This window comes from Homo sapiens, chromosome 11 (genome assembly GCF_000001405.40).
Source record: "Homo sapiens chromosome 11, GRCh38.p14 Primary Assembly".
NCBI lineage: Eukaryota > Metazoa > Chordata > Mammalia > Primates > Hominidae > Homo > Homo sapiens.
Genome location: NC_000011.10, coordinates 8,059,157 through 8,074,510, shown reverse-complemented (window position 1 = coordinate 8,074,510; position 15,354 = coordinate 8,059,157). Strand labels below are relative to the sequence as shown.

General features: G+C 51.2%; 1 protein-coding gene and 1 long non-coding RNA gene across 7 annotated transcripts in view, besides 1 other annotated feature; both read right to left on the bottom strand.

Moving 5' to 3' along the window:
• The window catches only part of TUB (TUB bipartite transcription factor), an 86,999-nt gene that overhangs the window by 31,733 nt on the left and 39,912 nt on the right, over positions 1 to 15,354 (bottom strand). The window lies entirely within an intron of this gene.
• Positions 1,571 to 2,347: an enhancer, noted in NCBI's record as "OCT4-NANOG-H3K4me1 hESC enhancer chr11:8093711-8094487 (GRCh37/hg19 assembly coordinates)". NCBI's record gives its function as "activates a minimal SCP1, AML or CMV promoter by ChIP-STARR-seq in naive and primed H9 embryonic stem cells {active_cell/tissue: H9 hESC(naive and primed)}" and the evidence as "EXISTENCE:reporter gene assay evidence [ECO:0000049][PMID:30033119]".
• Positions 5,138 to 14,473, bottom strand: TUB-AS1 (TUB antisense RNA 1). Of its 2 annotated transcripts, NR_120537.1 has the most exons (4): positions 14,433 to 14,473; positions 12,280 to 12,438; positions 7,032 to 7,088; positions 5,138 to 6,901 (listed from the first exon to the last, which is right to left on the bottom strand). It is a non-coding gene; the product is annotated as a TUB antisense RNA 1 (long non-coding RNA). The 2 variants fall into 2 exon arrangements; NR_120538.1 differs by lacking the exon at positions 7,032 to 7,088.

Genomic DNA, 15,354 nt, shown 5'->3' with positions numbered 1-15,354 from the left:
CTGCCTCAGCCTCCCACAGCATTAGGATTACAGGTGTGAGCCATCGCACCCAGCCTTATAGAGAATTTTTAATGACAAAGTAATGGATTTATCAGATGGAATACAATATTTTAGGTGAGTATAATGCTCTATAAAAAAGCCCCACCAGCTGACACATATGTGGTTTCATACAAAGATGCCTAGAGTGAGAGACACAGTCCAGTGTCTCAGCTTTGCCACCCTAGGGGCCACATCCTCCATTCCAGGTGGCCCCTTCTTCCAGGTGTTTGAACCTCCTCTTAGCTCCAGCTTTGGCCCCTAAGACCTCCTAGTGATCCCTGAACAGTGCAGACAACATCCCCACCCCCAATGTTAAGAGAAGACAGACGATAAACACACACTATTGGTACAAAATAGATTTGGTAAAAAAAAAAACCACAAAAACCCATATATATAGTAACGCCTTACGAGTTGACATATCCTCAGTTGCCTAGTGTAATATGGTGTGTCACTAAGACAATAGCCAACTGGCTGCAAGAAACACCTGCAATTCTTAGCCTGGTTATTTATCTTGGAAGGGAGCAGAGGAAGTGCAGGAAGGATGATGCTGAACTACGGTTCTGCTCTTTACCTGCTCTTTACCTATTCTGAGGCATTTGCTGAGTGCTTCCTAGGCAGGGAGACCCAGGGCTGGAGTACAGGGTCTCTGACCCGGGGAAGGTTCTGTTCCCAGCAAGTCCTCTTGCCCACTTGCCCAGGGGGCATCTAAGCCCAGCTCTCTGGGGAGCACAGGCTGAGATTATAAATAGAAAGAGTGGTTCTGAGGCTGAGCGCTCAGGCCCCTGTGCTCAGCCTCCAGGAGGGGTTTGTTTCACCAGCATTATTGGATTTGCAGATAGGCAACAAGGAATTAAGGTGATCAGGAAGAGCGGGAGAGAGCTTTCATTTATTCATAAATGCAGAATTTATCTAGCAGAGCCCTCTCCTTTGTCAAACAAGAGCCATTTCCTTTATATCCTCCAGCAAAGAACATTTTATTTTGTAACCTTTCAGAAAAGCCTATGAGTTTGTGTTTTTGACCTGTTTTTCTCCCTGCTCTAAGAAAACCATGATTATTTAAAATGTGAAATGCATATTAAACAATCCTATTCTGAATTCACAAACCAATCTCTCCAACAAGAGGAATCAGTCCCTGAAATGCAATTTAAACTCTTTGAAAATTTATTACTCCCAACACACCACCTTTTTGCTCCATGGCCCTTCCCTTTTGCTGCTGCTGATTCTAAATATCAGACTCTAGAGCCACCACTGAGGAGGCAGAGTCCCAAAAAAGGTGGTGCTATGGGATTGGAGTCAAGCTGTGAGCTGAGTTTTCCAGACTCTGAAGTGGGGATAAAAGTTCCAAGACCTATGGAGGCAGCAGCTATAGAGGAAAGAACACCAGTGCCAGGTTCCAATCCTGGCTAAGTTGCTAATGTGCTGTGTGACCTTAAGTGAGGATGTCCTCTCTCTGTGCTTCATGAAAGAGAGTGGGACTGTCTCTAAGGCTCCTTTTAGCACTAAACGTTCTCTGATACTTTGACTCTTTAAAGCAGGGCTGTTAGGAGACAAAAGAAGATGATTATAGTTTACTCAACTCTGAAATAAGGTGAGAATTCTCGCTTTATTGTTTTTTGTGTTAGCATTCTTGTATTTTATGTAAGAAACACAGCTGTGAAAACACACAAGACTGAGGGGAGCTGAATTCTTATCCTCTCTGCTGCTAACTCACTGGGTGACCAGAGACCACTTTCCCCAGGCTCGCCTCAGTTTCCTCATCTGTTGATTGGAGACAACGTATTCCTTGCCTACTGCACATAGTGTGTGAGGATGAACTGAGAAGGGACGTGTGTCTGTGAATGCTGTGCTGGAAGTCCAAAGCACCACGGAGATGGGACAACATTTAGTACTTAGAGCTCCCACTCACTGAGCCCTCACACAGGGCCAGCACTGTGCTAAGTGCTCGCTTGTATTGTCTCATTGATTGCTGGCAGCTCCCCGAGGAGCTATTATACAGAAGGAAGCAGAAGCACTGTGGGTGGTCACAGCAGCAAGGATTTACTCAGCCTCACCAAGCCTGTGGCATGGGGCCTCCGCCGCCCACCGCAGATGAGGGTGAGAACAGGTGGTCCCACCACTGCTGCCCTGCCTAGGCTCTAGGAGGGAGGAAGGGAAGGAAGGGAGAGGGTCCCTTCCCCCTCTGCATCTCCAAGCTGAGCTCTGGCCTGGAGGAGGCGACGCGTGAAGACTCCTTCTAGGCTTCCTCAGGTGAGATCACGCCCAGGGGTGGTGGGGCTGTGGGGCAGTACCCGCCTCTGCCTCCTTCCCCCTCTGCGTCCTTTGCATCACTGTGTCTCTCTCCCGACTCCTGGTCCGATCACAGCCCACCTGCTCTCCATGTCTCTGTGTCTGCTGAGCTGTCACCACCCTCTCCGCTGCTGCAGAGTGGCCCCTTCCTGTACCTCCATCCTGAGGAAGGCACAGGTGGGAGCTCTGAGGATGGGGGCTCAGCTTAGCAGGACGAGGCCCTGGGATTCTGAGCTGGGCATCTCATGCCAGGTGGCCCTGTCCCAGCCCTTACACTTCTGAGGATTTCTGGGGTCTCCCTGGAGACAGGCAAGTTGGGTTGGCCCTCAGATGGACTTCAGAGGTCTCTCTTCCCCAGTGGGAGGGGCCTCGGGCCACTGTGTGTTCCTCTAGCTCAGGTCATCCTCTGCTTGGCCCCAGCCTCCTGGCCCTGCACCGCACACACCCCAGCTCTCTCTGTCATGCTGTGGCTCCCCATATCTGCATCTCAGCCTGCCTATTCTGAACTGTATTCCACCCCATCCTCCTGGCTCTGACAGACAACTGAAGCGGTTTGGTGAAGGACATGAATCTCATATAAAACTTCCCTTGCTCCTTACAGGTGACCAGACATTTGCTGATGTTGTAGGCCCATGTTCTCACTTGATCTAAAAACACCATTAGTGTCTTGGATGTCAGGAATCCCAAGTTTAGGCCTAAGTCCCCAGCCTCCTATATGACCATAAAGAAGTGCCTTCCCAATTTCCTTGGCCTTAGTGTGTCAGTGTATAAGATGAGGGGGTTGGATTAGATAAGGTCCAAGGCACCCAACATCACTAGAGCTCCATCATCATGGGCCCCATCTGATAATTTATGTTAAAAGGATACACATTTCTCACCTCCCGCTCCCACTTCCCTGGGAGAGCAGTGTACAGAACACTCAGGCTAGACCTACCCCTATGAAAAAGGCACGGTGAGTACAGACCCACCCTCACCCAGTCACACACCCAGAAGACAGATGGCAGCGCAGGATGCACTCCGTAAGTGGGTCTGAAGTCCCTCCCACCCTCTCCGTGAAAAAGAGTCGAGGTGATGAGTGCTTAGGAACAATTCAAATGTGCTCTGCCATGAACCACCTGTATGCCTTGGGCTGTCCTGGGGACTTAATAGTTAATATATATAAACCACTTAAAACAGGCGGTAAGAGTTAGCTGTGGTTACATAATGATCTGCACCCCCTTTCCCTCCAGCCCCCCTGCAGTCTGTTCTCACATGGCAGTGAGAGTGATTTTTTCATAATGCAAATCTATCCTTGCACCTGCTGCTTCAAATCCTTCACTCACTTCCCTTGCTCACAGACCAAAATTTTAAAAAGTTCCTACAAAGCAATGAAGTTTCTGGTCTGTAGCTATACTGGTATGCTTTTAGAGAAGCCAGGCTTTCTCCACCTTTGCAGACTTTTGGGTCTGGAATCCACTTCCCATCCCTGCCCCGCAAGCCAAAGCCCTATGGCTGAGACTGAAGTTATGGTTCAGTGGGGACCGAGGAGGGCCCAACTACTTGTATTTCTTTAAAGTTCCTGAGGGGGGCATTGATGAACAGTTATTAGTCTACTATGTTAGAAAGGACTCATGGTTTATATTATTGCACATGATTACTGTACTGGACCTGAGAAAATGTAAGGGAATCAACAAGAAAACCCCCAGAATCAGAAAGTTGAGTAAAGTTGCCAGATAAAAAGATGGAAAAATAGCCAAGAACATTTCTATAAAAAAATTATCATTTGCAAAATGAGAATGAAAAAGATCTCATTTACAGTGGTACAAGACTACATATGAAAAGTTTTAAAATAATACCAATGAGACTGATTTGTGATTCATATAAAGAAGATTATAAAATGCAACTGAGATTTATAAAAAGAACTTGAAGAAATGGAGATTCCTAATGTATTTCTATATGATAGGAAGACTGTTTTAAAGACAGTCATTCTTCCTAAATGAGACTTCATTTAGTTCAAAGCAAAATTCCAAGGGGATTCTGAAACTTGATAATGTACAGAGATTTTTTTATGCTTCCCTGTGGTGATGATTTAAGGAAAGGAGGGCGAGCCCCAAGATGGTTTGTGAACGTGGGCTCTGTGATAAGAAAGCCAGTGTGGCCATGTTGCCTCGCTGGCTAGTGTCGATCAGCAACACCACCTCCATTTTCCCGTGAGAGCATGCCCACACGGTGCGGCCATCCTGCCCCACATCCCAGGATGGCAGATTAGTGGGCAGCAGTGAGAGTTTGGGGTAGTCAGGGCATTGGTGCCCCCACTACTCTCTTTTTTGCCTGTTTCTCTCAATCAATGGCCGTTTTTACCATTTTCAGAGCCATGAATTAAGAGTGGCCAATTCAGCTGACCTGTGTGGATGCCCATGATTAGGGCAGACTGGGATAAGCTACTCGTCTGCCCCTAATTCCTCTAGATAACCCAGGTATAGATTATCTGGAAGGAAAAAAAAACAACAGCAAAAAACAAAAACAAACAAAACAGGTAAGAAAAGCAAAGACATTTCCGATGACGGCTAATGAGAGGAGCGCCAATCCCATTAGATAGGAAAATAAAAGACATTTCTGATGACGGCTAATGAGAGGAGCACCAATCCCATTAGATAGGAAAATACACATCTGCAACAACTGAAGCAGTGTGACGGTGGACAGGAATGTCATGTGAAACGTCAATGGAAGAAAACAAGCAACCCAGAAATCTACTCTAAGAACTTAATTTCTCTACAAGAATTTAGGGTTAATTACCCCCCCCCCCCGAAAGAATACAAAGAATACTAAATTTAAAAATGAGAGTGTAAAATCATTATGACAAAAGTGTAAAATAAAGTGTCCTGTGGTTATCTGGAAGGGGACAAAGAGAGGTTCCAGAGCTATGAGACTGGGCTGATTTTCAGCATAAGCAATTGTTGTTATTGTAGTAGGTGGTTTGTGTAGAGAAAAAGCAAAGATGGAATGGTTCAGCAAAGCAGAAAGCACACTGGGCTAGAAGCCAGGGGTCTGAATTCCAACCACAACTCCTCCCTGTGGAGTGATCGTGGGCTAGGTCTTTCTCATTTCTGGGCCTCACTCCAACATTTCAAAGATAAAGAATTAACACAGATGACCTGCAGCGGCCCTTCCTGCTCAGTCTTCTGGGATTCAACGATCATTCCCCATTTGTGGTTTCTACAGCAGGACTCGACGGGAGTGCAGAAAGAAACTCAGATCTTTCCTGCCCCAAATCGCGGAGTGACCTCGTAGGCCGGCCCTGTTCATTTCAGTACTGAGGCTCGCACTGCACCCAGCCCCGTCAGTCACGGGGACCCAGAGATGACTAACACAGGGCACTGGCCTGTGAAGATCATGGGTTACTGGAGGACACAGATGGACACAGATAACAAACAATAATCCCAGGTGGTATGAAGTCAACCCAGCCAGAGGTGAAGACCCGTGGGGGCACAGCAGAGAGAGCCAGAGGAGTCTGACAGGGAACCAGGCAGGGCTTTGCAGCAGAGACGGCCTTTGAGGCTGGGTATTAAAGGATACAGAGCTCAGTAAAGGTAGACGGGGTGAGGAAGCCACGGGAGTTAGGAAAGCATTGGGGTGGACGGCCTGCCTGGCTGTAACACGTGGGGAATGAGTAGGGAGAAGAAGGGTCTTGGAGAGGTTATATGGGACTGGGGAAGTTGGTCTGGAACAGGGCCAGGCTGCCTGTAAACAATGGAAAATTGCAGGGGTGCAGGGGTGTGGTGGTGCTGGGGAAGTGATCCCGCCTGTAAGGGAGGGGATCATAGGCAGCCCTGGCAGCAGGGTCTGTGGTGAAGCCAGAGGGAATTAGAGATACCAGTGAGCAGGCTCTTCAATAGCCCAGGGCAGAGCTAGATGCGGCCCAGGAGGGGCCTGAGGTCAGTGGTACAGCTGAGGCAAGCCCATGGGACCCGAGGCAGGACAGCACAGCGGCAGGAAAAGCACAACTGAGGCCAGACAGCCTGGGCTCTTTGTCCGGGCTCTGCCTAACTGTGTAACCTAAGGCTGTTTAACGATTTCCGCCTCGGTTTTCTTATCTGCAAACAAGTGGAATGGTTTTTAGGGACGTCAGGGGATTCCATGATTTAATAAATAAAAGCTTTTAGCATGGTGCCTGCACTAAGTGCTCTATTCATGGTGGCGATGGCGATAGAAGAGCTGCATGTTGGAGGAAGAGGGGTCTGGACAGTGGCTCCTCAGGGAACCCAGTGGGAATAGCAGGTTTGAGAAGGGGTTGGGCATTGTGAGTTACTATTCAGATGTGCCAGGTTTGAGCGTCTGCAGGTCACCCCATTGCAAGTGACTGGAAAAGCGCATCTGGAGCTTAGAGACAGGATGTGTGAGGAGAGGGAAATTCAGGGAATCCTGAGCCCGGGAGGAGGCTGAGGCAGAGGCTCAGGGGAGGGTGCAGACTAAGGGAGAGGAGGGCTGACAACAAAGACTTGAGTGTGTGGCTGTGGAATCCAGCATAGAAGCTCCTTGAGGACAGGGGTTTTCACTGTTTTGCTCCCTGCTGTATCCCCAGTGCCTAGTACAGTGCCTGGAAGAAAACAGGAGTTTAATAAATATTTGTCGGGTGAATACATGAGGAGAATTTTTCCTGTCATTCACTCTAAGTATTTTGTTAGGCACAAAATAATAACAGTAGCTAACATTTATTAAATGCTTACCCTGTGCCAGGCACCATGCTAACAGCATATAGGGTCCCATTTAATCTTTACGACAGCCTGGAGGGAAGGTACTATTATTATTTCCAGTTTATAGATCAGGAAGCAGGTCTCAAAAGGTAAAACAACTGGCTGAGTTCACACACCTCATGAGGAGCAGAGCCAGGGGCCAAACCTGGGGCTGCAGGACTCCCTGTGGGTGCTCTCCTAGACCCTGACTCAGCAAGAAAGGAAACGGGGAGCAACAATGCCCTGTGCCGGCTCTCATATGCGCAGTATTTTTAAATCTTGCTGGAGGAGGTGGGGAGCCAGAAGAATGAGCTGGAGAAGCTGGACCTCATTGGCGTCAGACTTACGGAGTGAGGCCATTCACAGACCAGTATTTGGTGAGGCCAGACGGTGGAGGAATGGGAGCAGATCAGGAGCCGGGAGTGGAGCTGCCTGGAGCGGGAGGGGCAGGATGGAGGTCAGAAACTTACTGAGAGGAAGGAGCTCCATCTGTACACGGTGATGGCTGTGTGTGTGAATGTGTGTGCATTTGGGGGAGGTAATGGGCTGCAAAGGTTATCCAGAGGATTCAGGCAGGTCCAGAAAGATCCAGGGTTGTCCCAGGGTGACAAGGACTAGAGGTCATTTGCAAAGTGCAGGGGCTGCACGCCTGGTAGGCTGTTCATGCAGGTCTCGTCACAACTCTTCAACCTGCTTCCATAACCAGTGCTGAAGTCGTCAAACACCCGCAGTTATTACACCTCTCCTAGACGTGAGCTCTGAAGAGGGCAGGAGGAGTCAGACAGGCTAGGCTTGCCCCAGGTCTCCAGCTCGCAGGCGACAGATTGGGATTCAGAACCCTGAACTCCTCTAGCTGCTGAGCGGTGTTGCCCCAAGCAGGGTGGCTGCCCAGGGAAGTCTGAGGCAGCTTCAGCCTCTCTCTCTCCAGGTTGTCTGGACCCTCTGTACAGCCCTGCTGCCTCCAGAGAACGAGGTTCATCACTTAGTCCCCTGTGCACAGTAACTGGCTGGGACTGGGATCCGGGTCAGGGCACAGGCTGTGGAGCTGTACAGGGGCTGAACCCAGAGCCAGCTCCCTCTGGACTGCACGGAGTTGCTTTCGCCCCCATCCTCACTCATTCCTGACTCATGCCAGGCCCTTCCAATTCCCTTCACCTCCATGCTGCCTGCCTGCCTCTGGTAACGCTCCTGCAGGGGAAAAGGCTGTCATGCTGTGTGCCAAGTGGAACCTCATGTCCAGCGTCTGAGCAGACCTGTTGGTTCTGGACACTCTCAGAACACCCTGGGCTAGAGGAGAGAACTGCAGAGTGCCCATTCTTCCCCTGGCAGTACCCTTGGAGCCCCCACAGCCTCAGGGCAGCCTCCCCCCGGGCCCCTTCCTCCTCGGCCAACTCTGGGGTGACATGATTAGCCACCGCCCAAGCACTGACCACCATGCACAACCTATTTCATGTCTGACCAATCCCAGGCTGGACTCTGAGCTCACAGAGAGAAACGCTTCACCGCGATATGACTCTGAGGGCAAGAGGAGTGTCTGCAACCACAGAATCCACACTGTCATGTATGTGTGGACCTCCTACTATGTGCAGGAGTGGTGCTAGGGGCTTTCCATGCACTGTCACAAGGCCACACACAACTTATTTTTCAGATAAGGAAATCGAGGCTCAGAAACTTGCCAGACTTTAACTATTCCACGTCACCAAATTCATCATTACCCTTGGGTCAGATAAACCCTGAAGCAGAGCTGCTCTTCCAGCTCTGCTCCTAGGCTTACCAGAGGGCATGCTGCCCCTTCCTTTACCCTCCACCTCGTCTAGAGTGGAGGCCTATTTGGGCCCACAGATACACTCAACTCTGCTCTAGGTACTAAAAGAGGCAAATGGAAAGAAACTGACATTTGTTAACAACTATTCTTGCTGAGTGCTGTCATGTATTATTTTCTCATTCAATCTTCTTGACTGCCCTATAAGGCAGGTACGACTATCCCCATTTTAGAGAAAAGAAAGTGAGGCTCAAGAACTGAGGTCACACAGTAAGGTATAGGTCTACCTGAATCTAAGACTCACACGAAACCACTTCTTAACTCTGTGTCACTCCCATTGTTGAACCTGGGGCACACACCATGTCTCCTCTGTCCATTACCACCCGCTCCAGCACCACCAATGCCCTGGCCCCATGGGGAGCAGGCCAGGAATGAGAGGGAAAGGGAGTCTGCTTCCTTCCCAAAGCCTGGAGGACCTTAGTGGGCCCAAGACACCTGCTACCCCAGCAACATGCACACTTCCTCCTTAGCCTGATGGTCATGATCCTGGCTTGGCCTCTGTAGACAGGGTCCTTCCCAAGTCCAGGTGTAGTCTGGAGTGATGATCCCCCAGCCAGCTTCCACCAATTCTCCTCCAAGAGGCTGGGCCTTGCTACCTATATTATACATTGGCCCTGTGTCCTCTCATCCCCTAGCATCCTGCTTCAACATGGAGAGGCCCCTGGGACTCCAAGACCTCCTTTGGTTGCACAAATCACTCTTCTGCTCCTACCAACAATATCTTTGAGTATCCATAACTGCTTATTTGTTCCCAAGTTTGCGGAGTCCTTTGATACCACGATTTAAATTGCTGACTTCAAATCCTATGCTAGTTCCTCCTGCCCCACCAGCCATGTCTGCCCTGACTTACTGTCCTCATCATCTGGCCTCTTTGCTCTGAGATCCCAGGAGGCCCTGTGGCCCTGTCTGCAACAGCCATGGCACCTAGTTTCTATCACTGGGTTTCATGCCCCTGACCCTCACTGTCTCTGCCTTGAGTTCCTGGTATCACTGAGGAGGCCCCTGTCATTATCTGAAGGCCACAGTCTTCGACCCCACTTACGTCAAAGTTCCCTAACAGTCTCCTTTTCCACAACTCCCCATGCTTAGACCTCAGCCAAGACATGAGGGCCCAGACCCCAGCAAATGTTACTGATCTTACCCAGCCAGGCCTCTCTAGCCACCATCAGAGCCCTGGTTTTACAGGTACTGGGTAAACTCTTGGTGCAGCTCCTGGATGCTCATTAGGATCAACAGGCAAGTGTACTACAAGCCCCAAATTTGGTTTATCCCTATGGCCACAGCCACAAGCATAACATGGTAATCTGTGTACCCAGAAGGTCACATCTGGGGTAAGAGGCTGTGCAGCCTGTCCAGTGGAGCTCAGGCACAGTCCATCAAGGTGGGGACAAGCATGGGGCCACGGGTTCTCCTTCTCCCCTTCATCTCAGTCTTCTCCCTGGGGCAAGTGATGCTGTTTTAAAACCATATTCATCGTTCAGCCTCAGAGCTTTGGAAACTATGGCCCTGACGTACATTCTGGCCTATTGGTGGGAGACTGAGAACTGAGTAAGTCTGAAAACTCAGAGCTATCCATTTTCCAGTCCTGATCCAGCTCTTAGACTCAGAACCGATCCTGCCATATCCCTGTGGGACAAATGACGCCTATGAGGTTCTCAAAGTCCTTCAGAGAATGTCCAATGTCACCAATCATTGAAACAACGGCATTAAAACAACTCGCCACACCACTCCTGACCAAAATCGCAAAATGAGAAAAAAGAAAGTAAATAAAACAGCTATAAATAAATAAAAATGATGAACCTTTATACTGGAGGGCTGTGGGGACAGCTATACATAATTGGTGTCACAGTAAACGGGCTCAATATTTCTGGAGAACCATCTAGTAATATGTGACAAGAACTATAAAATTGTTCATGCCCTTTAACCTAGTAGTTCCACTTGGGGAATGCCTCCCAGTAAAATACTAAGAAAGTAATTTGTACAGAGATATTCATAGCCATGATATTTATAATAGCAAGAAATTGGAAGGAGCCCAAAGGTTCAGCACTTGGGGATTGACTAAAGCAAACTGGGTCGAGTGAACACTCCCGGATGCTTTACAGCCAGGAGGTGTGGACATGTGCAGTCTGGGGCAAAATGAATGTGCATCCTTGGGCCGGCAAGACGGGAAATAAACCGAATCAGATGGCCTGACTCCAGCTTCAACCATGGAAGCAAACGTGCAGTCGGCTACTTCATGCTGCCTTCATGTTAATTCAGTTAAGTCAGTAAACTTCATGTCAATTATGAGGGTTTTAAAGGTCATTTATTTTACTTTCTTTTTCTAAAGGTCATTTTGAATTAACTGAATTCTTTTTTAAGAAGACATTTAAAATGCTCACAAGGAACTCCGTGGAGGAGATTTCATAACTGTCCTTGTGTGCGCTCATCTCCAGGGAGTCCTTTCTGACATCTCATCTCTCTTTCCTCGTGTCTATGCAGGAGGACCTGGGCTCACACACGTGGCTGGACAGGGGCTGCTGTGGACCGGAGGCGCTGGGCCCTGAGACAGATGTGAGGGTCCCCGGCCTCAGCAGGCCCAGACACTGTGATGGGGCAGTCCCTGGCCCTGATGCTCTGTCGCACCCCTTCCTGAGCCTTCCTTCCTCTGGGGCCCACTCTGTGCTCCATGCTTTCTCCTGTGCCTCAGGAAAAGGTTACCGAAGAGTATGTCGGCCTCTCCTTCCCACGAGAGTGCAGATGACCTGAACACCTTCCAGAGACAACGTCTGAGTGTCTAAGGTGGCCCTGTAGGCAGAGCCTGGGCTTCCTGGCCCCGGGTAGGTGTCCGCCAAGAGCAGTGGTTTCCTCCCCCAGCTGCAGCCTGTCAGAATCACCCAGGGAGCTTTCTAAAATAAAGATTCCTGGGCCCTGCCCTAGAGTCCCTGTGGGCAGAGCCTGGGAATGTGCATTTTAAAAATATTCCTAGGGCTTCTCATGATGCAAACCACTGTTCTAGAGCCTTTGATGCCTAAGAAAGAAGGTTGTGAGCCTGCCTTCCTGGGGTCTTGGGTTCAAAAGGCTCTTATCATGAGCCAGCAGCCATGGTAGAAACTGCAACCCCTCATGTGTACACACACACACACACACACACACGCACACAAACCTTCAGAGGAAGGCCCTGCCCAGTAGCCTAGAGCATCTGGGAGAGCCCTCCACAGGCCCCTGACAGCGCCTGGCTCCCTAGATCCCTAGAGGCCAAGAGCCAGCCTCCGCCTCAGCCCAAGCATGTGTATCTCCCCAGGACTGCAACCTCCCAAGCTTTCTGGTTCCCCACGTCCTGTGGCAGGGTCTCCTGCTGCAGGAGCTCTTGGTCCATGCCCGTGGTCCCAGGTGGGGCAGTGGGGGCCCGCGGCCCCCACCTGCCCAGGCCATACTTACGGAGTCATTTTATAAAGCTGCGTCCTCCTCTCAAACAGCGACCCTCCCCAGGCCCAGGTCCAAACCCCGGCCACTGGTGTGGCCTGGGCAGACTCCGTCTCACCGCCCCCTGTCTCCAGGACGCTCTTCAGCTTCACATTGGCGCTTGAGTCCCCCAGCCTGTTGTCAGGAAACACCGAGAGTCGTCACCCTGCCCCACCAACCACCCTGCCGAGTGAGAACGGGCTGAAGCCTCCATAGTCCTGGGGGAGCGAGAACAGAGGAGGAGGAGCAGGAAGGAACTCCAGGGGTGGGGTCTCTTCCCAGGAGTTTTGGAGCAACTTTCTGAGCCCTATCTGGGATGTTGAGTAGGTGACAGGGAGGGGGTCACTTCTACTGGGCCCCCCTCCAAACTGTTCCTGAAGTAGCAAGAGAGCTGGGGGACCTTGGAGTTCCCCAAAAGCACTGTCTCCAAGCCTGGGATCCTGGGGTCCAGTGTGGCTTTATTTGGGGATCTGGATCTCTTAGCGGGTAGGGGCAGCGGCAGGAGGCAGGACAACTTCCAGGCAATAGGAGGGTCCAGTGTATGCAGGGACATGAGTGTGGGCTAAAGGGGCACAGAGCAAACTAGCAAGATCTCTGTCCCCTCTGAGCCGACTGTCCTCGTCCTACTCTTGCACCCCAGGATCCCAGGGCAAGGGGTGTGCAAAGCTGCCCCTCCCCAACTCCTAGGCCCTGCTCTGAGGGACGGGGAGGGGAGGCCGGCATTGACTTATTTGGGATCTGAGGTCACACAGACTTGAAGGACCTGGTTTTCCCTGTAGAGGCACCGCAGGGTGTTTCCACCCCCATCCTGAGGCCAGCTCTCTCATCCTCCCTGCCCACAGCACACGCCCCCACACACTGGTCTAGGCCCAGGCTTGCCTCAGTTTACTGAGAGCGCCCAGCTGTCAGCAAGGTTTGAGGGAAGCTCTGTGGGGCTGAAGGGAAGCCAGGACACTACCCACTGAGTCCTCCCCCACACAGGTGGCATCGTCGCTGATGCCAGGCCCAAGGAAGGAGGAAATGTGCTTTGTCCTGTTCAGAGACTCTCTTTGTATTTGTAGAGACAATGGACAGAGAGCATCAAGGAACGAGGGGGCCGACCTGTGGCTTCACAGCCCTGGGGCAGCAGAGAAGGGCCAGGGCCACACAGGCCCCACCATGGGGCACCCTGATGCCTGGGGCTGGGGACGAGCCAGCCAGCAGGCAGGGGCAAACTGAGCGGCATCCACTGATGAAATCACCCGCAGCTAGGCAGAGCCCAGGCCTACATAAGCATGGACATAACCATGACTGTGCTGTGTGGGTGGCAGGCAGGGAGTTCACACAGTGTCTGTAATGATGATGCTTGGTTTTCTCAGTGTGTGTCATTCCTCAGACTCCATCAGCTTCTATGTTGGCAAGGATTCACAGACCCCAAATACGTACAACAGTATAAGGGATCCTCTGGCCCAGTAGTTATCAGTTGGAAAACATCCTTTCATGAAGAGGCTAACAGAAAACATAAATGCAAGTGGCTCTGGATGAAGCTGGGGACAGGGTGGGACTAGATTTCCACACTCTCAGTCTCTCCCTCCCCATCACCCTCAACTCCTGCTTCCTGGAGATGCTTCTGGGTGACCCTGGGGCTCCAAATGTCATTTGAAAATCACTGGTATGGTCCAGCTTTCTTATTTTCAGATGAAGAAGCTGAGGCCCAGAGTGGGTAGAGATCTGCCAAAGGTCACACAGCAAGTTGGTAGCAGAGCCAGGGCTGGAGCTAGAACTGAGGCCCCATGACTCCTAACCACTGTGGCCTCCAACTCCTAAGTCAGAGGTGGCCAGCAACCCGACCCATGGTTCTGACCTCCTCCAACCTTCTCCTGCCCACTCTCTGGTTTTCCTGTACGGAGGGACCTGGCATCTGGCACCCCTTCCAGAAACAAGGTCCAGGCAGGCCTGAGTTCTTGGCCCTTCAGCACTAGTTCTGGACCCTTGTGACTGTGTTCTCCGCAGGTGACCTCTTCACTCTCTTGGCTTTCCCACCTATCCATGGGGCTCCCAAATCTACTTCCTGATGGCTCCCCTGAGCCCCAAATGCCTCTGGGCCCCTCCAGGGATACCTCTAAGTCTCCAGGTTCAAAGCAACTCACCTTACTCCAGACCTGCTCTTCCTCCTGTTTTCTGGCAATGTGCATAGTCCTGCCATTCGCTCAGTCATCACCCCAGAAACCCAGGCCCCACCCTAACCCTCCTCATCTCGCCTGTGGCTCCACCCATGAAGCCCTCCTATCGGTCCCCTCCCCTGTCCCCAGTGCCTCTGCCCGGATCGAGGCCTCACATGTCCCCAGCCTCCTTCTGGTCTCCTTGACTGCAGTTCTGCCTGCTCCAGGAACATTACACTTTTAAAAGCCAACCCGAGCATGTCACTTGTCTGCTGACAAGGCTCTTTCCACTGCTCCTCGTTCCAAAGGATACAAACCAAGCTCTTCCATGAGGCTTACGAGGCTGCAGGACCTGCCCCCTGACCCCTCTCCTGCCTTGCTCTGCTGTCTCCCCTCCAGGCTGGCTTAGCTCCAGCCACTCCTAAACTCCCGGCAGATCTCCCCGCAGAACTTCTTTCTCATCTCCTGCCTCAGCACACACCCTCTCGTCTCCTCAGATCAAGGCTTTTCCCAGTGTGCCCTTGGGTACCTGCTTCACCATCCCCTAGCATACTCCCGGGCACCACCCTGCCCAGACCTGCCAAAAGAGAATCTCCGCATTTTTAACACAAATCTGTGGATGCTGCACACTAAATGTCGAGAGGCACTGTTCCGCTGAGCAGCTCCTCTTGTCCCAGCCTCGCTCCTGCCTCAGCTGGGCAATTTCTTCTTTTTTTGCCCCTGTACTCTCCAGGGTGTAACTAACTGCGACTGGATGTCTCCTCTGCTGGGCTGTGAGCTCCATACAGGCAGTGACCACGTCTTCTTCCTCTGACCTGTAAATCCCTGAGCCTGCTACAGAGAAGGGACCAATGAACGGGACCCCCACCTGAGCCCCAGTGCCCCCGGCCAGGAGGAGGTCAGGCTGATC